This window comes from Homo sapiens, chromosome X, assembly GCF_000001405.40.
Source record: "Homo sapiens chromosome X, GRCh38.p14 Primary Assembly".
Lineage (NCBI taxonomy): Eukaryota > Metazoa > Chordata > Mammalia > Primates > Hominidae > Homo > Homo sapiens.
The window spans coordinates 48,582,281-48,609,297 of NC_000023.11; the positions used below are offsets into that span (position 1 = coordinate 48,582,281).

The 27,017-nt window shown below is 49.9% G+C and overlaps 1 protein-coding gene and 1 pseudogene across 5 annotated transcripts, besides 4 other annotated features; one reads left to right on the forward strand and one right to left on the reverse strand.

Annotated features, from left to right (window-relative positions):
* Positions 636–1,071, reverse strand: MRPL32P1 (MRPL32 pseudogene 1; annotated as a pseudogene).
* On the forward strand, positions 15,212–26,589 carry WDR13 (WD repeat domain 13). Of its 5 annotated transcripts, none has more exons than NM_001347217.2 (10): positions 15,212–15,334; positions 15,678–15,757; positions 16,437–16,677; positions 17,073–17,182; positions 17,307–17,437; positions 18,039–18,346; positions 19,504–19,684; positions 19,785–19,926; positions 21,992–22,110; positions 22,568–26,589. In NM_001347217.2, exons 2-10 carry the CDS (start codon positions 15,717–15,719, stop codon positions 22,750–22,752), a joined length of 1,458 nt encoding a protein of 485 aa, NP_001334146.1. In that variant the 5' UTR covers positions 15,212–15,334; positions 15,678–15,716; the 3' UTR covers positions 22,753–26,589. The 5 variants fall into 5 exon arrangements, 4 of the variants coding, with proteins under 4 accessions (NP_001334146.1, NP_001334148.1, NP_060353.2 ...); NM_001347219.2 differs by having other exon boundaries at positions 16,471–16,677; NR_029427.3 differs by having other exon boundaries at positions 15,212–15,757; positions 16,471–16,677.
* Positions 15,518–15,837: an enhancer, noted in NCBI's record as "active region_29604". NCBI's record gives its function as "activates an Ori minimal core promoter by ATAC-STARR-seq in GM12878 lymphoblastoid cells {active_cell/tissue: GM12878}" and the evidence as "EXISTENCE:reporter gene assay evidence [ECO:0000049][PMID:35858748]".
* Positions 15,858–15,927: an enhancer, noted in NCBI's record as "active region_29605". NCBI's record gives its function as "activates an Ori minimal core promoter by ATAC-STARR-seq in GM12878 lymphoblastoid cells {active_cell/tissue: GM12878}" and the evidence as "EXISTENCE:reporter gene assay evidence [ECO:0000049][PMID:35858748]".
* Positions 15,948–16,007: an enhancer, noted in NCBI's record as "active region_29606". NCBI's record gives its function as "activates an Ori minimal core promoter by ATAC-STARR-seq in GM12878 lymphoblastoid cells {active_cell/tissue: GM12878}" and the evidence as "EXISTENCE:reporter gene assay evidence [ECO:0000049][PMID:35858748]".
* Positions 23,861–24,155: a silencer, noted in NCBI's record as "tiled region #1547; K562 Repressive non-DNase unmatched - State 18:Pol2". NCBI's record gives its function as "represses a minimal TATA promoter and a strong SV40 promoter by Sharpr-MPRA in K562 cells {active_cell/tissue: K562}" and the evidence as "EXISTENCE:reporter gene assay evidence [ECO:0000049][PMID:27701403]".

Consider the following 27,017-nt stretch of genomic DNA (forward strand, 5'->3'; position numbering starts at 1 on the left):
TTGGGCATGCGCTACTCAAAAAATCATTTGGGGCCCGGTGCGGTGGCTCACGCCTGTAATCCCAGCACTTTGGGAGTCCCAGGCAGGTGGATCACCTGAGGTCAGGAGTTCAAGACCAGCCTGGGCAACATGGTGAAACCCCATCTCTACAAAAGTACACAAATTAGCCAGGCCTAATTGCAGGCACCTGTAATCCCAGCTACTCGGGAGGCTGAGGTGGGAGAGTTGCTTGAACCAGGGAGGCAGAGGTTGCAGTGAGCCGAGATTGCGCCATTGCATTCCAGCCTGGGTGACAGAGTGAGACTCTGTCTCAAAAAAAAAAGGAAAACCATTTGGTAAAGGAGAAAGTGGAGTCCTAGACGGGGGAGTTCAGTGTCAGCCTGCATTGAAATCATCCGGTTTATGGGACTTGGTTGCCTTGTGTGCTGGCTTGGACTCCATGGTATCCAAAGTGCACAGTGCATGAAACATGAAGAATTTGCAACTTAACATCAGTTTATATGTTGCTATCCAAGTTTATCTACCATGAGGCTTAACTCATACAAAAACCTTTACTTAGGGAATGTGCCTACTTGAGAAAGCAAGTTCACCTACTCATCATCCAGCTATTTTCCTTGCTAGTTATCATAGATAACATGAAAAGATTTTTTAGAGTTTACCCATGTCCTTCAAATTATCCCACACAAAACTGCTTAGAATGTGTTAAACTATATTGATGATTTAAAAACAAGCACAACAACATAAAGACAGAATCTTCCTCTATTTCAGGAGAAATGATTTACTGTGAATTTAACCTTTTAACATCTTTGGTGTTAATTGTGGGTGAACCAGGATGGCTGCTTCCTGTCTCGTTCTATGATCCTCACCCTGATCTTGTTCAGACAGCGTCGCTCCCATGTACAACACCATAGTCTCTACAGTGGGAGCCTTAAAAGGGCCCTCTTGTTTCCCTATCTGTCGTCTGACTTCTGCAGTGTCCCTGCCCACCTTCTCATAGCAGTGGCCCCAAAGGACATGTTTCTGTTACAGGTGATCACATTCAGAACAAATGTCTATATTTTTTAAATGTAAGTACATCTGGGCTGGGTGCGGTGGCTCACACCTGTAATTCCACCACTTTAGGAGGCTGAGGCAGGAGGAACGCTTGAACCCAGAAGTTCCAAACCAACCCGGGCAACACAGTGAGGCGCACCCGCCACCTGCCCCCTGCCCCTGTTAAACCAAAATAAAAATTAGCCGGGTGTGATGGTGCACGCCTGTGGTCCTAGCTACTTGGGAGGCTGAGGTGGGAGGACTGCTTGAGCCTGGAAGGTCTAGGCTGCGGTGAGTGGCATTTTGGCCTGGGTAACAGCGAGACCCTGTCTCAATAAAAAAACAAAACAAAACAAAACAAAACCGCGTAATATTCACCCTATATTCACACTGTCAATATTCACACTATAAGATCAATTAATGCCCCTACTATAAGCTTGTTTAGCAAATCTTTTCTTTTACTTTTTTTTTTTTTTTGAGATGACATCTTGCTCTGTCATCCAGGCTGGAATGCAGTGGCATGATCACAGCTCACTCTAGCCTCGACCTCCCAGGCTTAAGCAATCCCCCCACCTCAGCCTCCAGAGTAGCTGGAATTACAGGGATGCATCACCCATGCCCAATAATCTTTTTTGGTTTTTGTAGAGACAGGGTCTCACTATATTTATGTTGTCCAGGATGGTCTCAAACTTCTGGACTCAAGCAATCCTCCTACCTTGGCCTCCAAAAGTGCTAGGATTACAGGTGTGAGCCACCATGCCCAGTCTTATTTAGCAAATCTTTTCTGGATTATTAGTCCTTTTTTGATGGAAACTTTTCACATTAATTTTTTGCCCAGCTCTTTTGAGGTGTGGTTAACCAAAAAAAAAAAAAGTATATTTAAGATGTATAGGCCAGGTGCAGTGGCTCACGCCTGTAATCCCAGCACTTTGGGAGGCCGAGGTGGGTGGATCACTTGAGGTCAGGAGTTCGAGACCAGCCTGGCCAACAAGGTGAAACCCCATCTCTACTAAAAATACAAAAATTAGCCAGGTATGGTGGCGCATGCCTGTAATCCCAGCTACGCGGGAGGCTGAGGCAGGAGAAATTCCATGAAGCCAGGAGGTGCAGGTTGCACTGAGCCGAGATCGTGCCACTGCACTCCAGCCTGGGCAACAAAGTAAGACTCCATCTCAAAAAAAAAAAAAAAAGATGTATAACAGGGTGTTTGATAAATATACACATTTAAAATGATCACTACAATAAAGCAAATTAACACATCTATCACCTTAGTTACCTTTATTGTGAGTGAAATGAGAACACTTAATCATCTACTTAGACAATTTCAAGTATACACCACAGTGTTATTAACTATAGTCACCATGCTGTACATTGGATCTCCAGAACTTACTCATGTTATAACTGAAAGCTTGTACCCATTGACCAAAAATTCCCCCAGCCCTTAGTAACCACCATTGTACTCCATTTCTATGAGTTTGACTTTTTTTAGGCTGCAGATACAAGTGAGATCATGCAGTACTTGTCTTTCTACGAGTGGCTTATTTCACTTAGCATAATGTCCTCCATCCATGTTGCAAATGGCAGAATTTCCTTTTTTAAGGCTGAATAATATTCCACTGTACATATACACATCATTTACTTTATCCACTCATCTGCCATGGACATTTGGGTTGTTTCCACGTTTTGGCTATTGTGAGTAATGCTACAATGAACATGGAAGTGCATATATCTCTGAGATAGTAATTTCATAACTTTTGGATATATACCTGGAAGTAGGATTGCTGGATGCTATGGTAGTTTATTTTTTTTTATTATTATTATTTTTTTAGACAGAGTCTTGTTCTGTCGCCCAGGCTGGAGTCCAGTGGTGCGATCTTGGCTCACTGCAAGCTCTGCCTCCCGGGTTCACGCCATTCTCCTGCCTTAGCCTCCCGAGTAGCTGGGACTACAGGCGCCCACCACCATGCCCGGTTAATGTTTTGTATAGTAGAGACGGGGTTTCACCATGTTAGCCAGGATGGTCTCCATCTCCTGACCTCATGATCCACCCGCCTCGGCCTCCCAAAGTGCTGGGATTACAGGCATAAGCCACCATGCCCGGACTTGGTAGTTTATTTTTAATGTTTTGTGGAACCTCCACACAATTTTCCCTACTAGCTGTACTAATTTACATTCCTACAATAGTGTATAGGAGTTCCCTTCAGCACTTGTTATCTTTCCTATTTTTTTTTTTTTTTTTGACATGGAATCTCACTCTCTCACCCAGGCTGGAGTGCAATGGTGCAATCTCAGCTCACTACAACCTCCGCCTCCTGGGTTCAAGCGATTCTCCTGCCTCAGCCTCCCGAGTAGTTGGTGTTACAGGTGCCCACCACCACACCCAGCTAATTTTTGTACCTTAAGTAGAGATGGGGTTTTGCCACGTCAGCCAGGCTGGTCTCGAACTCCTGAGCTCAGGCAATCCACCTGCCTCGGCCTCCCGAAGTGCTGGGACTACAGGCATGAGCCACCATGTCTGGTCCTTTCCTCATTTTTATAGTGACCATCCTAATAGGTATGAGTTGATATCTCATTGTGGTTTTGATTTGCATTTCCCTGATGATTAGTGATGTTGAGCCCCTTTTTGTATACCTGGTGGCCATTTGTATGTTTTCTTTGGAGAAATGTCTTTTCAGGTACTTTGGCTATTTTAAAATCAGTTTATTTGGGGTTTTGCTATTGAGTTATATGAGTTCCTTATATATTTTGGATATTAATCCCTTATAAGATAAATGGTTTGAAAATATTTTCTTCCATTCCATAGGTTGCCTTTTCATTTTGTAGATTGTTTTTCCTTTGCTGTGCAGAAATTTTTTAGTTTGATGTAGTCCCACTTGCTTATTTTTTTAACACAGAGTCTTGCCCAGGCTAGAGTGCAGTGGCACGATCTCGGGCTCAACCTCCGCCTCCCAGGTTCAAGCGATTCTCCTGCCTCAGCCTCCTGAGTAGCTGGAACTACAGGTGTGCACCACCACGCCCGGCTAATTTTTGTATTTTTAGTATAGATGGAGTTTCACCATGTCAGCCAGGCTGGTCTCGAACTCCTGAGCTCAGGCAATCCACCCACCTCGGCCTCCCAAAGTGCTGGGATTACAGGCGCGAGCCACCACACCTGGCTGTTTATTTTTGCTTTTGTTGTCTGTGCTTTTGGTTTCATGTCCAAAGAATCATCGATAAGACCAATGTCGAGGAGTTTTCCCCCTTGGTTTCCTTCTAGGACTTTTATGGCTTCAGATCTTATGTTTAAGTCTTTAATCCATTTTTAGTTTTTGTGTATGGTGTAAGATAAGGGTCCATCATTTTTCCCAGCACCATTTATTGAAGACTGTCTTTCCTCCATTGTGTATTCATAGCACTTCTGTCAAAGATTAGTTGATACTAGCTGGGCGCGGTGGCTCCCCTCTGTAATCCCAGCACTTTGGGAGGCCAAGGCAGGCGGATCACGAGGTCAGGAGTTTGAGATCAGCCTGGCCAACATGGTGAAACCCTGTCTCTACTAAAAATACAAAAAAAAAAAAAAAATAGCCGGGCATGGTGACACATGCCTGTAATCCCAGCTACTTGGGAGGCCGAGGCAGGAGAATCGCTTGAACCCAGGAGGCAGAGGTTGCAGTGAGCCGAGATCGCACCTCTGCACTCCAGCTTGGGCAACAGAGCAAGACTCCGTCTTGGGTGGCGGGGGATAAGATTAGTTTATATTGTATGTGTGGGTTTATTTCTGGGCTCTCTTGGGTTTTGGGGGTTGGTTTTTGTTTTTTGTTTTTATCAGGCAGCCTCCCAAGCCAGAGTAGGCTCAGAGAGACTCCCTATTTTCTGGGCCCTTGATCCTGTTCCACTGGGTGTGTGTGTGTGTGTGTGTGTGTGCATGCGTGTGTGTGTGTTTAAAGAGGGTCTTGCTCTGTTGCCCAGGCTGGAGTCCAGTAACACAATCACAGCTCACTACAGTCTCGAACTCCTGGGCTCAAGCAGTCCTCCCACCTCAGCCTCCCCAGCAGCTAGGACTATGAGCACACACCACCATGCCCAGCTATTTTTTTTTTTTTTGAGACTGTTACACTCTTGTTGCCCAGGATGGAGTGCAATGGCGCGATCTCGGCTCACCACAACCTCTGCCTCCCAGGTTCAAGCAATCCTCCTGCCTCAGCCTCCCGAGTAGCTGGGATTACAGGCATGCACCACCACACCCGGCTAATTTTGTATTTTTAGTAAAGATGGGGGTGCTCCATATTGGTCAGGCTGGTCTCGAACTCCTGACCTCAGGTGATCTGCCCACCTCGGACTCCCAAAGTGCTGGGATTACAGGCGTGAGCCACCGCGCCCAGCTTATTTTATTTATTTTTAAATGTATAATTAAATTTTTATTGGATATAGTCACCCTATTGTCCTGTCAAAGACTAGATCTTATTCATTCTTTCTATTTTTTGTACCCATTAACCATCCCCACCTCCTCCCACCCCCACTACCATTTATCTGACTTTGGCATCAGGGTAATTCTGTTCTCATAAAATGAGTTTGGAAGTGTTCCCTCTTCTTCAATTTTTTTTTTCCTTTTTTGAGACGGAGTCTCACTCTGCCGCCTAGGCTGGAGTGGTTTGATCTCGGCTCTCACTGCAACCTCCACCTCCCACGACCAAGCAATTTTCTTGCCTAAGCCTCCTGAGTAGCTGAGATTACAGGCACCCACCACCATGCCCGGTTAATTTTTGTATTTTTAGTAGAGACGGGGTTTCACCATGTTGACCAGGCTGGTCTTCAACTCCTAACCTCAGGTGATCTGCCCACTTTGGCCCCCCAAAGTGCTGGGATTACAGGCGTGAGCCACCGTGCCCGTCCTGTTGGGAGATTTTTGATGAATGATTCAATCTCCTTACTTGTTATCAGTCTGTTCAGATTTTCTATTCCTGATTCGGTCTTGGTAGAGTGTATATTTCTAGGAATGTGTCCATTGTTTCTAGGTTATCCAATTTGTGTAACAACTGTTCATAGTAGTGTTTAGTAGGCTTATTATTATTATTTGAGATAGGGTCTCACTCTGTCGCCCAGGCTGGAGTGCAGTGGCACAATCACGGCTCACTGTAGCTTCAACCTCCCAGGCTTAAGTGATCCTTCCCGCCTCAGCCTCCTGGATAGCTGGGATTACAGACACACATCACCATGCCTGGCTAGGTTTTGTATTTTTAGTAGAGATGGAGTTTCGCCGTGTTGGCCAGGCTGGTCTCGAACTCCTGACCTCAAGTGATCTTCCCACCTCAGCCTCTCAAAGTGCTGGGATTACAGGCGTTAGCCACTGTGCCTGGCAGGTCCTTTGTTTTTCTGTCGTTTCACTTGTAATGTTTCTGATTTTATTTACTTTGTTCATCTTTTCAAAAAACCAACTCTTAGTGTCATTAATCTTTTATATTTTTTTCATCTATTTCATTTATTTTTGCCCTGATTTTGTTATTTCCATCTTTCTGCTAACTTTGGACTTCATTATTTTTCTAGTCCCTTGAGGTATAAAGTTAGGTTGTTTATTTGAGATCTTTATTTCTTTTTTCTTTTTTTTTTTTTTTTTTTTTTGGGACAGGGTCTTGCTCTGTCACCCAGGCTGGAGTGCAGTGGCAAGATCACAGCTCACTGCAACCTCCACCTCCTGAGCTCTAGGGATCCTCCCACCTCAGCCTCCCAAGTAGCTGAGACTACAGGCGCACACCACCATGCCCAGCTAATTCTTTTATTTTTTGTAGAGACAAGGGTCTCACTATGTTGCTAAGGCTGGTGTTGAATTCCTGGCCACAAGAGATCTTCCTGGCGGGGTGCAGTGGCTCATGCCTGTAATCCTAGCACTTTGGGAGGCCGAGGTGGGCAAATCACTTGAGGTCAGGAGTTTGAGACCAGCCTGGCCAGCATGGTGAAACCCCTCTCTACTAAAAATACAAAAAATTAGCCAGGCGTGGTGGCAGGCGCCTGTAATCCCAGCTGCTTGGGAGGCTGAGGCAGGAGAATCGCTTGAACCTGGCAGGCAGAGGTTGCAGTGAGCAGAGAGAGTGCCACTGCATTCCAGACAGAGTGAGACTCCGTCTCAAAAAAAAAAAAAAAAAAAACAGCTCTTCCTGTCTTGGCCTCCCAAAGTGCTGGAATTAACAGGCATGAGCCACCGTGCCCAGCCAGAAGTGTATTGTTTAATTTCCACATATTGGTGAGTGTTCTGATTTTCCTCCTTTTATTGATTTCTACTTTTATACCATTGTGGTCAGAAAGGCTCTTGATATGATTTCATTCTTCTTAAATTTGTTAAAACTTGATTTTGTGAAGTTTCATTATATCATGCATTGGTGGGGTCCACCTACAATAAGCTAAAACATTGCCGTGTAATGTAATGTTAGGGAGTGGGAAGCATTAAGGGAAATAAAGCAGGGTGGGGGTGGAGAGTGAGATGTGATGGTTTACACATGGCAGTCAGGGAAGGTGACTCTGAAAAGGTGCCTTTCAACAGAGACCCGATGTTCGAGGGAGAGCAGTCAAGGAGGATATCCAGTGGTCTAGTTCGTGGGAATGGTTCCTCCATAGCGCTCTGGCTCCGTTGCACGTCTCCACATGGGCCACGTAGGTAAGCTGATGTAAGTCTTGGCAGAACGCCCTGTAATCCTCGGAACACAGAGCACGGAAGGTCTGTGGGGAATTCTCACGAGGCCATTTACCATTCACCTCCTATCTACCAAGGAGCCTGTTGTGAGACAGTTTTCTCCCCACCTCCTGAGGTTCTGGTGGGGTTTGAGGCTTTCTACCCCTCACCTCTGGGCTATAGAACTGCTTAGCTGCAGCATGAAATTAGCTCCTCAGCAACAAGGTGTCCTGCCACCTGGTGTGTGGTCATCTCGCCCCTTTCATTTCGGTGTTGCCCGGCACAAGGGACATGAACCAGAATCTGTGGATGTTCTTGCTTTCGTGGTCCACGTAAGTAACATCTGAATGTAACTAGGGCTTGTTTCATTTCCAACCAAACCTGTCAGCCTTACCTTGCTTCGACATCTGGAAGAGAATTAAAGGCAGAGGGAAAAGCAAACAGGTGCAAAGGCCCTGAGGCAGGAGCTTGCTTGGTGTGTGGGGAACAGCAAGAAAGCCAGCGGGGCAGGAGCAGAGTGAGCCAGGGGCCAGTGGTGGGTGGTGAGGTCAGGGAGGGCCCGGAGGGCCTCGTGGGCCACGGAGAGGACTTTGGCTTTTTCTCTGAGAGAGATGAGAGCCACGGCAGGGCTCTGAGCAGAGGAGGGCCCTGGGCTGACTTGGGTTGCAACAGGATCATTCTGGCTGCCGTGAGGACAGATTGAGGAGAGGGGGCGAGGACGGCAGTGGTGAGGAGGCTGCTGCAGTCATCCAAACCAGTGATGGTGGTGGCGGCAGTGGACGCCGAGAGGAGAGCTCGGATTCTGGCATATTCTGAAGGTGGAACTCACAGGGTTTGCTGACAGATCAAGCAAAGCGAGGGCGGGATGACAAAGTACTTGTTAGGAATCCACACTAGATGAGCTCACAAAAAGTAACTTGACAGTTGGTGTTAGTGTTGTGGTTAAGAACAGGGATTCGGAGCCAAGTGGCCTACATATAAATCCAGTTCCATTGCTTACTGGCTGTGTGACCTTGGGCAGGTCACTTCCTCTCTTTGTTTTCATTTCCTCACCTGTGAGATGAGATGGCAATAGTATCTACTTCACAAGACTGCTGTTGTAAGGATTACACAAGGTTTTCTATTAATGTAAAGTGCTTCAGGCTGGGCACAGTGGCTCATACCTGTAATCCCAGCACTTTGGGAGGCCGAGGCGGGTGGATCACTTGAGGTCAGGAGTTCGAGACCAGCCTGGCTAACAAGGAGAAACCCCGTCTCTACTAAAAATACAAAAATTAGCTAGGCATGGTGGCGCATGCCTGTAATCCCAGCTACTCGGAAGGCCGAGGCAGGATAACTGCTTGAACTCGGGAGGCAGAGGTTGCAGTGAACCGAGATTGCGCCATTGCACTCCAGCCTGAATGACAGTGAGACTGTCTCAAAAAAATAACAAATTAAAATGAATAAATAAATAAATAAAGTGCTTCAAAGAGTGCCTGGCATAAATAAAGTGCTTGTTATTAGTGACATGACCATGGGATGAGAAGTGTCAGGGAAGTGAGTCATAGCAAAGAGCATTCCAGATACCAGGAACACTTTGTACAGTTTTCAAAGCATGTGACAGGAAGCCAGCGTGGCTGGAACATAACCTGATGGAGTAAGAGTGCCAAGAGGTGAGGTTGGAGAGGAAGCCTAGGAGGAGATCAGCCCCTCACGGTAGCTGGACGCCATTGCAGACCTTGGTGCATAGAGCAGTCCTGGAGGTCAGAAGAGACCAGGAACAGAACTAGATCTGGGACTTAGTGCTGGGGGTGCACAGAGCTAGGAGAAGGACGGGGCATTATTGTCAACAATGCTGGCTGGTTACCAGTGGTTGGTGGTTTCTGGTGTCCAGGATAAGAAACAGTCTAGTTCGAGCAGTAGGACAAATACCTAACGCATGCGGGGCTTAAAACCTAGATGATGCGTGGATAGGTGGAGCAAACCACCATGGCACATGTATACCTATGTAACAAACCTGCATGTTCTGCACAGGTATCCCAGAACTTAAAGTAAAAAACAAACAAACAAAAAAAAACAAAACAGTTCGACTTCCCACTGGAGTCCAAATACTAGTTCTAATATTGTCTACATCTGTGGCCATGGGCAGTAAACCCCTCTAGAGTTCACTTTCCCTATCTTCAAAATGGGGCTTAAATGTCATACCTACCTCCTTAGGTTTGTGACAGTACATATAAGATCAGTATAGTCAGCACTCAGTAATGCAGGCTATCACCACAACCAGGTGGGACCTATCCCAGGACAGCAAGGGTGGCTTGACATTTGAAAAGCATGAGATGTAGTTCAACATATTAGCAGGAAAGAAAGAGAATCAAGGGCTGTAATTGCCTGGGACTGTGATATCAGATGCAAGGGCTAAACACTCCCAGATCTGCAATCTAGCCCTGAATGCCTCACTGGGCAAGCTGAATTGAGATCTTAAGACCAGAGTGATCCTAGTCCTACCCCTGTGAAGTGATTTCCGCTGGCTCTGAATCCGTGGCCGACAGGCTTTAACGTCCGCCTTATCCTCACGCTCAGCAGTCCAAGGCTTTGTGCATTCTGGTTTCAGTTCAAATTTATTTTTCACACCTGCCCCCCAGCAACAATAACCAAACTACTATTTTTTTTTTTAAGAAGAGTCTCACTCTGTTGCCCAGGCTGGAGTGCAGTGGCGTGATCTCGGCTCACTTCAACCTTCACCTCCCAGGTTCAAGCGATTCTCCTGCCTCAGCCTCCTCAGTAGCTGGGATAACAGGCACCCACCACCATGCCCAGCTAATTTTTCTACTTTTAGTAGAGATGGGGTTTCACCATGTTGAGCAGGCTGGTCTCAAACTCCTGGCCTCAAGTGATCCACCCGCATGGCCTCCCAAAGTGTTGGGATTACAGGCATGAGTCGCCATGCCCGGCCAAACTACTATTTCATTTACAAGTTTACCAATTTCTTACATTATTATTTTCTTACTATTGATCTTGGCAGTTAGAATCGTAGCTCCAGGGACTGAAGAAGTATCTGTCAGAAGGCTGGCTTGCTAGTTCAGCACGCTGGGGACCGCACAGTGCTCCGTTTGAGGCTTTTTCCAAAGGCAGAAATTTTATTTCTGACTTAGGGCATAGAGAGTTGTCACCAACCCCCATTTGGGGGTTGTGAGAACTTTGGCTTCAGAGGCAAATGTTTTCCCATCAGGAAATGATGAAAGTTATGAACTCATATCCCAACCCCCACTCACCCCATTTAGGAAGAAACTTCAGGGATGAGATAAGTGAATGAGGATTCCGTGTCTCCACTCCAATTACACCTCAGCTCCATGGCTCCTCCCGTTTCTCTCTCTGGCCTTGATTCTCAGCACACCTGTACCCTGAACCACCTACACTTTCCCACCTACACTTTTACTTTGTCCTCTGAAGTTGGGGCCCAACTTGAGATTTTATTTCAGCCTGTGGTAGCAATGAAAAGCAGACACAGCCAATGTGGTCCACTGCGTTCCTTTGCATTTCTTGTTTTTTTTTTTTTGTTTGTTTGTTTGTTTTTTTTTTGAGACAGGGTCTCACTGCGTTGCCCAGGCTGGAGTGCAGTGGTGTGATCACGGTTCACTGCAGCCTCAACTTCGCAGGCTCCAGTGATCTCCCACCTCAGCCTCTTGAATAGCTGGGACTACAGGTGTACACCATCATGCCTGGTTATTTTTTTTTATTTTGTAAAGATAGAGTCTCACCATGCTGTCAGGCAGGTCTCAAACTTTGAAAACTAACCGAAAGCTTGTAACAAGCAGAGGAATGTTTAATCAAGAAAAACCAGCTGAGTGGCTCATGCCTGTAATCCAGCACTTCGGGAGGCCAAGGCAGGCAAATCACGTGAGGTCAGGAGTTCGAGACCAGCCTGGCCAATATGGTGAAACCCATCTCTACTAAAAACACAAAAATTAGCCTGGCATGGTAGTGCACGATTGTAGTCCCAGCTACTTGGGAGGCTAAGGCACGAGAATCGCTTGAGCTGGGAGGCAGAGGTGCCCATGTTGGCGAGGCTGGTCTCTAACTCCTGGCCTCAAGTGACCCACCCTCCTCAGCCTCCCAAAGTGGTGGGATTACAGGCGTGAGCCACAGTGCCCAGCCAACAAACCTTTCATCAGCTTGTTTTGTCTAGTATCTTATAGCCTTATAGGAAGAGGTTTTAAAAATAATTTTTATAAATTTAATATGTTAATATTGAAAAACAATAAAAGAATTCATTCCAATGGTGAAACAGAATTTCCCAGGTATCCCTGACTCGAATTCCTGACTCTTCTGTTATTTCATTCCATCATATTTCTTTGGAAGCAGAGTGGTGGGATGAAGGGGCAGGGCTCTGTTGAGAGAAGGTGGAAGTGAATGGGAAAGGTATTTATCACAACACTCTTTATGGTGAAAAAAGAACATGGAAATAAACCCAATGCCAGTCACAAATAGGGGACCAGTTCAGGGCTGGGTGCAGTGGCTCATGCCTGTAAATCTCAGCTCCTTGGGAGGCTGAGGTGGAAGGATGCCTCAAGGCCACGAGTTCGAGACCAGCCTGGGCAACATATCAAGATACCCCCATATCTCTCTCTTTTTAAAAAAAACAAAAAAAAAAAACAAAAAAAAAAAACAGGGTCTTACTCTAACATCCAAGCCAGAGTGCAGTGGCATGGCTCACTGCAGCCTTGACCTCCCAGGCTCAAGCAATCCTCCCACCTCACCCTCCTGAGTAGCTGGGACTATGAGCACACACCACCACACCCAGCTAATTTTATTTTTGTAGAGATGTAGTCTCACTGTGTTGCCCAGGCTGGTCTCAAACTCCTAGACTCAAGTGATCTTCTTGCCTTGGCCTCCCAAAGTATTGGGATTACAGGTACGAGCCACCATGCCCAGCCGACCCCATGTCGCTCTCTCTTTTTTAATTAATTTATGTTTGAGATGGAGTTTCGCTCTTGTTGCCCAGGCTGGAGTGCAATGGCACGATCTCAGCTCACTGCAACCTCCGCCTCCAGGGTTCAAGTGATTGTCCTTGCCTCAGTCTCCCAAGTAGCTGGGATTACAGGCTCCTGCCACCATGCCCGGCTAATTTTTTGTATTTTTAGTAGAGACAGAGTTTCACCATGTTGCCCAGGCTGGTCTCGAATTCCTAACCTCAGGTGATCTGCCCGCCTCAGCCTCCCAAAGTGCTGGGATTACAGGTGTGAGCCACCACATCCGACCTCTTTTTTTTTTTTTAAGAGACAGGGTCTCGCTCTGTTGCCCAGGTTGGAGTGTAGTGGCATGATCACAGCTCACTGCAGCCTTAACCTCCCAGGCTCAAGCAATTCTTCTGCCTCAGCCTCCCGAGTAGCTGGGACTACAGGGATGTACCACCATGCCTAATTTTTGGTAGAGATGGGGTCTCACTTTGTTCCCCAGGCTGGTCTCAACTTCCTGGACTCAAGTGATCCTCCCGCCTCAGCCTTCCAAAGTGCTGGGATTACAGACATAAGCCACTACGCCCAGTTGACACCATGTCTTAAAAAAAAAAAAAAAAAAAAAAACGTAAGGGAACCAGTTCAATAAAATGTCACCCTTGAATTCCCTGGGCTTCAGATATCCTCATCTGTAAAATGGGGATAGTAACAGGACCCACAACCTTCAGTTATTATGATTAAATTGACTGGGTACAGTGGCTCACGCCTGTAATCCTAGCACTTAGGGAGGCCGAGGCGGGCGAATCACTTGAGCTCAGGAGTTTGAGACCAGCCTGGCCAACATGGTGAAACCCCGTCTCTACCAAAAATAGAAAAATTATCCGGGCGTGGTGGCAAATGTCTGTGGTCCCAGCTCCCGGGAGGCTGAGGTAGGAGGACTGCTTGAGCCCAGGTGGCAGAGATTGCAGTGAGCCAAGATCGTGTCACTGCACTCCAGCCTGGGTGACAGAGTGAAACCCCATCTCAAAAAAAAAAAAAAGATTAAATAGATTAATATATGTATAAAATACCTTGAACAGTACCCAGCACATTGTCTCATAAATATTAGTTGTTCTTGTTAAGGTTACATGTTTGTGCAGTGAAATAGAGTTTACTCTTTATCAATCATGTTACAAAAGAGTATTTAATATGAAAAGACACTGATAAGCTTGTTACAGGGACAAGGGAGATGCTGAGTCAACACAATACAGTGTGATCTTTCGGTGACTTTAAAACATTGTTGAATTGATTGTATTTGTTATAAAAATAATGTGGAAAATAACAGCTTTGAATTTTATGTCAGTTGATGTTAAGATCCAACAGGAAGTTTACCCTGATAACGTTAAGATGAACAGTTTGAAAGCAGCTTCCTGCTGGAAGTTGAAATAGAGATGATTCAGATAGCCTCTTTGGATCCAAACCCCAAAGCTTCTTTTGCCTAATTCTATCTTCTGTCTTTAGAAACTCAAGCCTCGACTGGGCTCGGTGGCTCACGCCTGTAATCCCAGCACTTTGGGAGGCCGAGGCGGGCGGATCATGAGGTCAGGAGATTGAGACCATCTTGGTTAACACGGTGAAACCCCCTCTCTACTAAAAACACAAAAATTTAGCCAGGCGTGGTGTCGGACGCCTGTAGTCCCAGCTACTTGGGAGGCTGAGGCAGGAGAATGGCGTGAACCCAGGAGGCGGAGCTTGCAATGAGCCGAGATCGCGCCACTGGACTCCAGCCTGGGCGACAGAGCGAGACTCCCGTCTCAAAAAGAAAAAAAAAAAAAAAAAAGAAAGAAACTCAAGCCTCAAGCTGTCTGGGGGCATCCAAGTCCAACCATCCCAGTCACACACACACAACCGACCTTACTCATCCCAGGGGTGTGCAGAGGCCCACTGCAAGAACTGGTGAACTTTCAAGGCGTCTTTGCATATATGATGATTTTTTATTCTATTATTCAAGTTTTGCTTGGACAAGATTGTGCTGCTAAAAAGTGGCCTACACCACTTTTTTTGTTTTTGTTTTTGAGACAGGGTTTCACTCCCGTCGCCCAGGCTAGAGTGCAGTGGCGCGATCTCAGCTCACTACAACCTCCGCGTCCTGGGCTCAAGCAATCCTCCTGCCACAACCTCCCGAGTAGCTGGGACTACAAGCGCCCGCCACCATACCCGGCTAATTTTTGTATTTTTAGTAGAGACGGGGTTTCACCATGTTGGCCAGGCTGGTCTTGAACTCCTGGCCTCAAGTGATCCACCTGCCTCGGCCTCCCTAAGTGCTGGGATTACAGGCGTGAGCCACCGCGCCCGGCCCTACACCACTTTTTAAAAGTCGTGTTTCTTCTCTTTTTTATAATGTTGTACTTCTGATTTCTAGGGAATGATTAGCAAACTCACCCCTGACGCTATGTCCCTTGGACATTATCCTTGTATACACAAAAAGTGCAATTAACGAGTGGGTAGAAGTCAAGGGGTGGAGCCTCCGTCCTTGGGCTTGAAGCCAATGTCCCTCAATGCGCCTGCGAGACTCCCACGCCCTGGGAAGGATGCCTATCGATTCGCTCTGGGCTCGGCAGTTCTTTCTGATAGCAGGCAGCCATCTTGCCTGGAGCCTGAGAAAGGGAGGAGAGACAGAAGGAACCGGCGACAGTGGTCTCAGGGCCGCTCCGGGGGGCCTCAAGAACCGGAGGCAGCCCCGGAGGTGGTCCCCGATCCCGGGCTATGCTCTTGGATCTGAGAAGGGAAGGCGGAGGGCGGCGGGGACAAGATGGGTGGAGAATGTCAAGCAAGGAATGCTAGGCGGGGGAGGGGCGTTGCTATGGCGACTGGGGAGGGGCGGTGTCTGTTCTGAATCGCTGTGTGTCACCCGGGCGCTGCCCAGGAAGGGCAGGGCTGGGGTGATGACCATGGTAACACCCGGGGGGGAGTTCGTGACATCTCCGGCGCGGAGGGACTCGATGTCTATGGCAATGGTCGCCTGGTGGAAGGGACGGAACTAGATCCCTTCGCTCGGGACGCTCACATTCCAGGCCCTTGTCCTGCAGGCTGCCGCGGGCGGACACGCCAGAGGAGGAGGCCGGGGAATGGCCGCGGTGTGGCAGCAAGTCTTAGCAGTGGACGCGAGGTGAGGCGTGGGGTCAAAGCCCATGGGAGCAGAACTTACTGTGGTGCATGCGCAATGGCGATAAGTGAGGCTGGGCGGAGAACTTGCCTTATGCGGCTGCGTGGGCATGCCGGAGGTGAGCATGCGCAGTAGCGGGGGCGGGCACGCCCGCGGTGAGTTGGCTGCGCCGGAGAGGATTCTAAACAGCAAGCTGGGAAAATGTGGTCAGATGTGGGCATGCGCAAAGCGGCTACCTGTGAGAGGGAGGTGGGGCTCAGGCAGGTGACATCCTATCCCCTATGGGTGTCCCCTAGACTTTTTTTTTTTTACATCATCACTTCCCCATTCTGACCCCATCACCTCCCAACGCTGACCCCCATAATGTCAGTCTGATTTCTGTCGCCCTGGTATACTGACCCTAATTATTGTCTGCGCTGACCCAGTCACCCCGTAGGGACCCCAGCACGGCAGCAGACTGACTCTGTTGTCTGCAAACTGACCTCATGACCATGCTCATTATTACTGCAGACTCACTCCCACCACAGGACCAAGAGGTCCCTCATCACCACTGCTAGTCATTCTTACCACCTAGGCCCCAGTCACTGCCACACACCTCACTCTCCTGCCGTACCCCCCCCCCCGAGCTGATTGATTCCCTCTGTCCTGTGCCTGCTGCCTGCCCTGCATCCTGACCCTGCAGGTACAACGCGTACCGCACACCAACGTTTCCACAGTTTCGGACGCAGTATATCCGCCGGCGCAGCCAGCTGCTGCGGGAGAATGCCAAGGCTGGGCACCCCCCAGCGCTGCGTCGGCAGTACCTGAGGCTTCGGGGGCAGCTGCTGGGCCAGCGCTACGGGCCCCTCTCCGAGCCAGGCAGTGCTCGTGCCTATAGCAACAGCATCGTCCGCAGTAGCCGCACTACTCTTGACCGCATGGAGGTGAGCTTCTGGCCACATTCACCCCCGGGCATACCCTGCCTGCACACATTCACTCCACTGACTTTCATCAAGCACCTGCTCTTTGCTGGGCACTGTTCTGCATCAGCAGAGGACAAAAAGATAATATGCCAAGTAAACCAGTAAACACACAAACTTTGTAAACAGGTCAGTAAACATATAGCAAGCCCTGTCTTTAGTATCTGCTGAGCAGGGGGAGGGCAGGAACAGCAGAACTCGTGAGGAAGCCACTGCAGTAGTACAAGTGGGCAGCGGTGGTGGTGGCAGGGGACACAGTGAGAAGTGATCTGACTCTAGGTAGATTTTCAGGGCTCCACACCTCAAAGGTTCTCGGGCTTTTTGCAAGATGCACCCACCCTGACCCTCTCCATTTGCAGGACTTTGAGGATGATCCTCGGGCCCTGGGGGCCCGTGGGCACCGTCGTTCTGTCAGCAGAGGCTCCTACCAGCTGCAGGCGCAGATGAACCGTGCCGTCTATGAGGACAGGTATGCACCAGAGGCAGCCAAGGCGGGGGGCGGGTTGCGAGGAGGAGAGGGGCCCTGGGGCAATGGCAGACTGAACACTCTCGCATCTACCTCCTGTCACCCCTCACTTCCTATTGGGGCCCAGGCCCCCTGGCAGCGTGGTGCCCACGTCAGCAGCAGAGGCAAGTCGGGCCATGGCCGGGGACACGTCACTGAGCGAGAACTATGCCTTTGCGGGCATGTATCATGTTTTTGACCAGCACGTGGATGAGGCAGGTGAGCCAGTGGGTAGCGGGTTCCATCACCAAGCGTTTGCCCAAACTGTGACAACCAACCAAGGCATCCTTTTCTGAATCCAAGGCCCCTGGCACACTCCAAAGGAGGAATGACCATCCATAAAGCCTTTTGTAGACTGAAAATCCCTCTGCAAAGTGGTCAGTGCTTCGTCTACTGGAAAGGGCCTCAGAAGCCTAAGAGAGAGCCCTTTGCAGCAGGCTGCCTGGGTTCCTGAGTCACTTGGAAGAGTTCAAAGCCTTTGCTGATGATAAATCCCCTTGCAGAGGGCAGAGTGGGCTACAGTGTCAAGGGTTTTGCAAATTGCCAAGACCTTGATTATAAAGTGTTCGCTAAGACAGGAACTTTTTCATGTTGCAGAAGACTTTTGCAATCTGCAAAGGAGCTGCTAAGACTTAGGGAGCTTTGGCAGAGGGTCTTCAGGGGTTACAGTTCCCTTTGTCAGCCAAGGAAAGCCCTTTGCTGAGGCCACTGTTCCTCATGCAGTGGGGCCCCAGCCCCAGGCACACACGTCAGAGCCTTTTAGAGAGAAAAGTGCCCAGTGAGTGTGCAGATTCCCACTAATGGCTTCTTGGCATTGCAGTCCCAAGGGTGCGCTTCGCCAATGATGACCGACACCGCCTGGCCTGCTGCTCACTCGACGGCAGCATCTCCCTGTGCCAGCTGGTGCCTGCCCCACCCACAGTGCTTCGCGTGCTACGGGGCCACACCCGTGGTGTCTCCGACTTCGCCTGGTCCCTCTCCAATGACATCCTCGTGTCCACCTCACTGGATGCCACCATGCGCATCTGGGCCTCTGAGGATGGTCGCTGCATCCGAGAGATCCCTGACCCCGATAGCGCTGAACTGCTCTGCTGCACCTTCCAGCCTGTCAACAACAACCTCACTGTGGTCAGGCTCCAGGACACCCACTCACCAAGGGCTGGTGGGCTGGGTCAGGAAGGCTATCTGAGGGAATCAGAGTATAAGGAGGGACAGCCAGGGGGGGCCTAGGACCCCCCCACCCCCCACCCAATCTCGTCAGAGCAGTCCTAGTGTGGTCAGACTTAAAAGGGAAGCAGATCAGAAGACGGGAGTGGGCCAGGCGCAGTGGCTCACGCCTGTAATCCCAGCACTTTGGGAGGCGGAGGCGGGCGGATCACGAGGTCAGGAGATTGAGACCATCCTGGCTAACACGGTGAAACCCCATCTCTACTAAAAATACAAAAAATTAGCCGGGCATGGTGGCGGGCGCCTATAGTCTCAGCTACTTGGGAGGCTGAGGCAGGAGAATGGTGTGAACCTGGGAGGTGGAGCTTGCAGTGAGCCGAGATGGCACCACTGGGCGACAGAGCGAGACTCCGCCCCCACCCCCCATAAAAAGGGGAATGCCGTTCTTGATCTGGGTTGGCCTTGCTGTGGTACACTCCAGGGAGCACGGGCCAGGGTCAGGGTTCTGGCTCTGGAGCCCCTTTGGTCCCATCAGCTACAGTCCTACAGTTTTCCAACTGCAGGGGCTACCTCTGAGGAGCAGGATGATGAGGCTGAGCCTCGTCTGGTCTGTCAGTGGCCCCACCGTGTCAGACTCCAGGGTAGATTGGTCAGAGAGCAGGGGAAGGACATTAGAAAGTCTGGTGTGGCCCGGGGTGTAGTGGGGTGAACTGCAGAGGAACAGACCAAGAGTGAGCTTGTGGGCCGGGATCCTCCCCGCATTAGCAGCAGCCCCACAAGTTCCAGAAAGGAGCAGCCAGGGAGCAGGGGAAAGCTGGGATCACAGGCCTAGGCAGGCCCTATGGTTCTCACACTGTAGGAGGACTGGCCAAGGGGCAGCATGATGGCTCTGAAGGCCCTTTAGTCCCGTAGGCAGGTGGCCTACTCTGGGCAGATTGCAAAAGGGGCTGGCTAGGGAGGTGGATTCATGCCTGGTCACCTTGTCTACCTGCCACAGCCCTATTGTGAATAGACTCTAATAGGGACCAGCCAGTCGCATCAACAGCAGCCCCACTGTGGTCAGACTCAAGGAGGGCCTGGCTGGAAGCAGGATGATGGTCTGTGCATTCTCCCCACAGGTGGGGAACGCCAAGCACAACGTGCATGTCATGAACATCTCCACAGGCAAGAAAGTGAAGGGGGGCTCCAGCAAGCTGACAGGCCGTGTCCTTGCTCTGTCCTTTGATGCCCCTGGCCGGCTGCTCTGGGCGGGTGATGACCGTGGCAGTGTCTTCTCTTTCCTCTTTGATATGGCCACAGGTAGGCAGACAGCAGGCCTGCATCTGGGTGCTCGCCCTCCAGCCCTCCCAGGGCACAGCCCTCACCCTCACCTTTGCCTTCCCTCCCTCTGCTGCTGCAGGGAAGCTGACCAAAGCCAAGCGTTTGGTGGTGCATGAGGGGAGCCCTGTGACCAGCATCTCAGCCCGGTCCTGGGTCAGCCGCGAGGCCCGGGATCCCTCACTGCTCATCAATGCTTGCCTCAACAAGTTGCTGCTCTACAGGTGGGTCCCCCATCAGGGCCTCCTGGAGACGGAGGACCTGCCTCCTCCAGCACACTGGGACAGTAGCTCATCTCCTCCATCAGGTTAATTTAATTGAGGGAGCAGTAGTAGCAGTAACAGTAATAGCAGTAGTGAGCGCGTTTACAGCCATCACTGTGGCCAGGCCCTGTTCGAAGCAGTTTCCACGTATCACCACATTCAATCCTTGCACCGACCTGTGAGGTAGGTGCTGTTATTATCTCCATTTTGCAGGTGAGCAAACTGAAGCATAAAATAGATTAGGGCTACTTAAAGCAGAGACCTGTTTTCCTTTCTTCCTTCCTTCCTTTTTTTTTTTTTTTTTTTGCGGGGAGTAGTGTGGGGGTTACTGTCCCCACTCACATCTGTCATGTTACCCAAATGCAGTTCTCAGCCTGGGCCACACATTGGAATGACCTGAAGAGCTTCAAAAACTCCTGTCTGGGCCCCTCTACAGGCCAGTAATTTCAGAAGCTTTGGGATGGGCCTGGGCATTGGTAGATTGAGAAATTCCCTAAGCAATGTCTGGCCAGTCCTGAAAACCACTGCCTAACAGGATGCTTTTTATTCTACCCCTTTATTTCTCTCCTCCTTTTTAAACAATTTCTGTATATATACTTAACAATTTTTTAATTTAAGCGTACCCTTAAGTTTGCCCATTTCCCACAGCCTCTCCTTTCTTCCTCCTGCCACCTCTGGCCTCCTCCTGCCACAGTAAAGCCCATTAATGATCCACATCTTTCCACATATCCTTCTCTTTCCACAAATCCTAGGCGTGTACATATATCCATGTATGTTTTTGTTTGTTTGTGAGACAGGGTTTTGCTGTTACCCAGATTGGAGTGCAGTGGCATGATCATGGCTCACTGCAACCTCCAACTCCTGGGCTCATGCGATTCTCCCACCTCAGCCTAAGTAGCTGAGATTACAGGCACACGCCACCATGCTCGGCCAACCTTTTTAATCTATTTTTTGTAGAGATGAGGTTTTGCTGTGTTACTCAGTCTGGTCTTAAACTCTTGGCCTCAAGTGATCCTTGTACCTTGGCCTCCCAAAGTGCTGGGATTACAGACGTGAGCCACCTTGCCTAGCTCCCACCACAGTTTTGAAAGAAAGACGTTTTAAAGAAATGGCCTTTTCCGGCCAGGCACAGTGGCGCACTCCTGTAATCTCAGCACTTTGGGAGGCCAAGGCGGGTGGATCACCTGAGGTCAGGAGTTCAAGACCAGCCTGGCCAACATGGTGAATCCCCGTCTCTACTAAAAATACAAAAATTAGCTGGGCATGGTGGCAGGCGCCTATAATCCCAGCTACTTGGGAGGCTGAGGCTGGAGAATTGCTTGAACTTGGGAGGCGGAGGTTGCAGCGAGGCGAGATCGTGCCATTGCACTCCAGCCTGGGTGACAGAGCCAGACTCCATCTCTTAAAAAAAGAAAGAAAAAAGAAATGGCCTTTCCTACATTTCGAGTTTCTCACCAGGCAATGCCTTGTGGAAACCCCCCCAGGTTACCTGTGGGGACAGTGTTTTATTCTCTCTAAGGGCTGTGCAGTTTTCCACAGTGTGGGCATACCATGGTGTGTTCATTTCCTCTCTTTGTGCTTATCTTAATACCAGGATCTTTTAGAGACCCTTACAAAGAAAAACTAGTGAATGAAACTGCAGAGGCTCCCATTTATATCAACAGAGACAGTTTCTGAACCATCAGTAACTCACACATCAGCCCCTACTTATAGTTTATGTAGTCATCTCAGAATTGGGTTTCATAAGCTGGGTGTGGTGTGTGCCTATAGGTAGTCCCGGCTACTCGGGAGACTGAGGCGGGAGGATCACTTGAGCCTAGGAGGTTGAGGCTGCAGTGAGCCGTGATCGCACCACTACACTCCAGCCTGGGTGACAGAGTGAGATCCTGTCTCAAAAACAAAAAAAAAAATATGGGTTTCATGAACCCTGTAAAGAACTTAGGCACAGGGGTGGGGACACAGGCCCACAACTTGTCTCCCTGCTAGGGCTGGGGCTGTGTTTTGACCCACTCTCTCATCCTCTCAGGGTGGTAGACAACGAGGGGACCCTGCAGCTGAAGAGAAGCTTCCCCATCGAGCAGAGCTCACATCCTGTGCGCAGCATCTTCTGTCCCCTCATGTCCTTCCGCCAGGGGGCCTGCGTGGGTGAGTCCTGTAGGGACAGGGGATCTGGGTGGCTGGGGAGGGGCAGGAACCAGGGCTGGTGCCAACCTGGCTCAGACATCACGACACCGATGCCCTGACTTCCTGGACCTCATGACCCCTCCTGCCCCAACAGCCTCACTGTGGAACTCACAGCTCCAAACAGCTCAGAGAACTCACAGTTTGCACTTGATCTCGGCCAAAAGGCCGAGAAGTGATGAAAACTCACACTTTGAACGCACTAACTCCCCAAACAGCCCAGAGACCTCGCATTCTGCACACAGTACCAAAACAGCCAGGTGACCTCCCATCTAGGGATGGGGCCCCCTCAAACCTCCCCAAGCCATGCTAGGACCTCACACCTCGGACATACACCCTTCAACACCTCAGACACCTCAGGGACTTCCCACCAGGGGCACCCCAGGCGCCTCCCGATGGCCTCTCCCTCTCACCCCGACAGTGACGGGCAGTGAGGACATGTGCGTGCACTTCTTTGATGTGGAGCGGGCGGCCAAGGCTGCTGTCAACAAGCTGCAGGGCCACAGTGCACCTGTGCTTGATGTCAGCTTCAACTGCGACGAGAGCCTACTGGCCTCCAGTGACGCCAGCGGCATGGTCATCGTCTGGAGGCGGGAGCAGAAGTAGGGTCCTGTCGGCCCTGCTGCTGTCCTCCATCCCACCCCTCTTACTCCAGCCTCGTGTTGTAAATAAAGTTTCGGTGGTCATGCTGAGGGCCGGCTCCCAGCTCTGCCGGGGACGGACAGGGCAGAGGGCAGCGGGCAGCTCCAGGAACACGGTGGAACGGGGTTCATTGACTCATTTGTGCATTCATGCATCGACGGATTCATTCATTCCACAAGCATTGATTGAATGTCTGCTGGGTTACAGGCCCTGCCTTAACTGTTTTACACACTTATGCATTCGATAGACATTAGTGAGCCCTGACCGTGTGCCAGGAACTGTTCTAGGCACTGGGGATACTGCTCTGACCTAAACTGATGGAAATGCCTGCCTTCATTGGGCTTGCATCATAGCGGAGACAGTAGATAAAAACATGGAACAGGCCAGCTAATGATGAGTGGTATGAAGAAAATAAAGCAAGGATGGGAGACAGAGCTGCAGAAGTTGGGGGAGTGGGCTCTTTATGGTGACAGCATCAGGGAAGATGATCCTGACAGGGTGACTTTTTTGTTTTTGAGACAGGGTCTCACTCTGTCACCCAGGTTGGAATGCAGTGGCATGACCATAGCTCACTGCAGCCTCAACCTCCAGGGCTCAAGTGATCCTCACTTAAGCCTCCCAAGTAGCTGGGACTACAGGTGTGTGCCACCACACTCGGGTAATTTTTGTATTTTTAGTAGAGACGGGGTCTCGCCATGTTGCTCAGGCTGGTCTTGAACTCCTGGGCTCAAGCGATCCACTCGCCTCAGCCTCCCAAAGTGCTGGGATTACAGGCATGAACCACCACGCCTGGCTCAGGGTGACATTTAAAGACCTGAATGAAGTGAGTGGGAGTCATAGTGTAGGGGGAGAACATTCCAGGCAGAGAGAAAGCCAGCCTAAAGGCACTGAGGCTGGAGCGCTCCAGAAGGATCATTGTGTATGCCAGAGTCTTGCTGGACCAGAGTGTGACAGTACATGAGGTCAGACAGGCCAGATGCTTCATGGGCCACAGTTAGGACTTTGGCTTTTTTTCTGAGTGGGGGTGACCAGAAGGTGTCAAGCAGAGGAGGAACATGATCTGACTTGGTCATAGAGGCTCCCTCTGGCTGCTGAAGGGGACAGATTGGGGGTGGGGGTAGAAGCAGGGGACCCAGCAGGAGACCCCTCTGAGCGCAGTGATGGGGACTTGCACCAGGGTAGTGACAGTGGAGGAGTTGGCGGGGGAATGTTGGGTCGGACCCCCAGGGGGTTCACTATGTTAGGCTGCAGGACTCTGCTGCCTCCTCAGGGGGCGATATTCCCAACCCTTCTGTGCATTGTGTTGTTTATTAAAAGCAGGGAGCAGAGGTGTTGAGTCCTGGAGCCCCAAGCTGGTGCAGGAGCAACGGGAAGTTAAGGCTGACCTGGGGCCTCCTGCTGTGTGGCGGAATCTCCATCCCTCAGACCACCCCTGTCTCCTCCCAGCCCCATCCAGGGTACAAATTCCAGCCCTGGAACAGCTCAGAGACCAAAAAGTGATGTTAAGTATTTGAGGGGAGCCCCAAGAGAGGAGAAAAAGCTTTGAGTATTGATGGGGGTAAATAACCAAAATCACTTATCAGTGGCCTGCGTCACCAGAAAATGTCAAAGTTACCTGAAGCAGCAAAGAGGCTCTTGCTCCGGCCCCTCCCTTCCTTCTCAGCTCCATTTGTTGCCACATATGCGTTGACTGGAACTGCGACTGACATCTTGGGACCTTAGGGTCAGTCCACAGCGTGGTAGAGACTCCAGCTTGGCCCAGCATTGCTGAGCTGCTGAACTCGCACCAACAGTCTTGTTGGAGGGAAATAATCTCCCGTTTGTTCAGTCCAGTTATTTGACAGTGTGGTTACTTGCACCCCAAGCATTTCTAACTGGCACTTCCATCTAATAGACCTCAGGGTACATGGTGGTGAGATAGGGACATCAGTGAGCTGGATTGTTCCCATGGTAAAGGTCATGTATGTGTGTGTGTGTCATGGTCCTCAATACCAGCCCCAAGCCCAGTGATTTGCTAGGAGGACTCCCAAGACTCAGTATGTGGTTGTATTCATGGCTACGATTGACTTATTACAACAAAAAGATATGGAGCAAAATCAGCAAAAAGAAATGGTGTGCAGGACCAACTCCCAGAGAGACCCAGGCACAAGTTTCCAGGGCTTCTCTCTCATTGGAGTCACACAAGATGTGCTCGGTTCACAGTAATGGGTTGTGACAATACATGCGAAATGTTGCTGACCAAGGAAGCTCAATTAGAGACTCAGCACCCAGAGGTTTTTTTTGTTGTTGTTGTTGTTTTGGTTTTTTTTTGGCGGGGGGGGGGGGGTCTTGCTCTGACGCCCAGGCTGGAATGCAGTGGCATGATCTTGGCTCACTGCAGCCTCCACCTCCTGGGTTCAAGCGATCCTCGGGCCTCAGCTTCCCGAATAGCTGGAACTACAGGCGCGCACCAGCAAGCTCGGCTAATTTTTGTATTTTTAGTAGGGATGGGGTTTCACCATGTTGGCCAGGCTGATCTTGAACTCCTGACCTCAAGTGATCCTCCCACCTCAGCCTCCCAAACTGCTGGGATTACAGGCGTGAGCACCTGGCTGGTATCAAGTTTTTATTGGGGCATGGTCACATAGGCACCCCCTGCCTGGCACCTACCCAAATCCCAGGCTCCCAAAAGGAAAGCAGGGGCTCAGCATAAACCACCTTTTTTTTTTTTTTTTTAATTGAGACGGAGTCTCGCTTTGTCGCCAGGCTGGAGTGCAGTGGCGTGATCTCGGCTTACTGTAACCTCCGCCTCCTGGGTTCAAGCAATTCTCCTGCCTCAGCTTCCTGAATAGCTGGGACTACAGGCGCCTGCCACCACCACGCCCAGCTAATTTTTGTATTTTTAGTAGAGACGGGGTTTCACCATATTGGCCAGGCTGGTCTCCATCTCTTGACCTTGTGATCCGCCTGCCTCGACCTCCCAAAGTGCTGGGATTACAGGCATGAGCCACCGCTCCTGGCCCACTTTTTTATACAAACAGCTTAGGTAGAGTAAGCCATTCTTTTTTTTCTTTCTTTCTTTTTTTTTTTTTTTGAGACAGGGTCTCACTTTGTTGCCCAGGCTGGAGTGCAGTGGCTCAAACATGGTTCGCTGCAGCCTCAACCTCCCAGGCTCAAGCGGTCCTGCTGCCTCATCCTCCAAAGTAGCTGGGACCACAGACATGCACCACCATGACCCCAGCTGATTTTTGCAGAGATGGGTTTTGCCATGTTGCCCAGGCTGGCCTTGAACTCCTGGGCTCAAGTGATCCTCTCACCTTGGCCTACCAAAGTGCTGGCGTTACAGGTGTGAGCCACCACACCCGGCCCGAGTGAGCCATTCTTATCTCTTAGGGAATGGTGGGAACCCTCCTGGAGTCTATGTTCTTAGACACCACCCAAGGGCCAACCTTGAAGCAGGCCTTTCCAAGGATCGCAGTTGAGGCCTGCTCTGTTACTGTTTTTCTGCACAGTGTGCAACACCACACAGATGCCCAGTTTCTACCAAGGTCTGTGGATGGCAGGATAATTTTGAGGAACCTCCTTTTTCGCTAACACTTTCTTCTTTTGTTTACACTCTTCACATTGTCTATTGAGTCTGGATTCAAGATGATTGATTGTGAATATTGTTGTGCATGATTTTGGGGGTTTCCTCCTTGTGAAATTTTGAGGTGGCAGATTTGACATTCTACTTTAAACTCATCTTGGTGGCACTTTTCTTGACTCACCACCTAAGGGGGAATAAATAATGAAGAAAGAATAAAAATAGTGTTATCAGTCACATTTGGGCCTCGGTTAACTTGTTCAGCATCACTGGTTTCACATCAGATCTGAAGCTCTGTCAATCATTCCACTATCAATTCCACTCTGGTCTTGCCTCAAATCGAGGCTTCGATTAACTGTTCCCTGCCCTTTGTCTGACTTTGAACCTGTGTGTTTGTCAACTACTTTACCATCAAGAGCCTCTCTGGGCCAGGTGCAGTGGCTCACACCTGTAATCCCAGCACTTTAGGAGGCCAAGGCAGGCGGATCACGAGGTCAGGAGATCGAGACCATCCTGGCTAACACGGTGAAACCCTGTCTCTACTAAAAATACAAAAAAATTAGCCGGGCGTGGTGGCACGTGCCTGTAGTCCCAGCTACTCGGGAGGCTAAGGTAGGAGAATCACTTGAACCCGGGAGGCGGAGGTTGCAGTGAGCTGAGATCGCGC

Bases quoted from the DNA above. Each gene is read 5' to 3' on its own strand.
- WDR13 (NM_017883.6), top strand. From the start codon at position 15,717: ATGGCCGCGGTGTGGCAGCAAGTCTTAGCAGTGGACGCGAG. The intron at 17,183-17,306 runs GTATGCACCAGA...ATTGGGGCCCAG, and splicing joins CGTGCCGTCTATGAGGACAG to GCCCCCTGGCAGCGTGGTGC. The intron at 22,111-22,567 runs GTGAGTCCTGTA...TCACCCCGACAG, and splicing joins CCGCCAGGGGGCCTGCGTGG to TGACGGGCAGTGAGGACATG.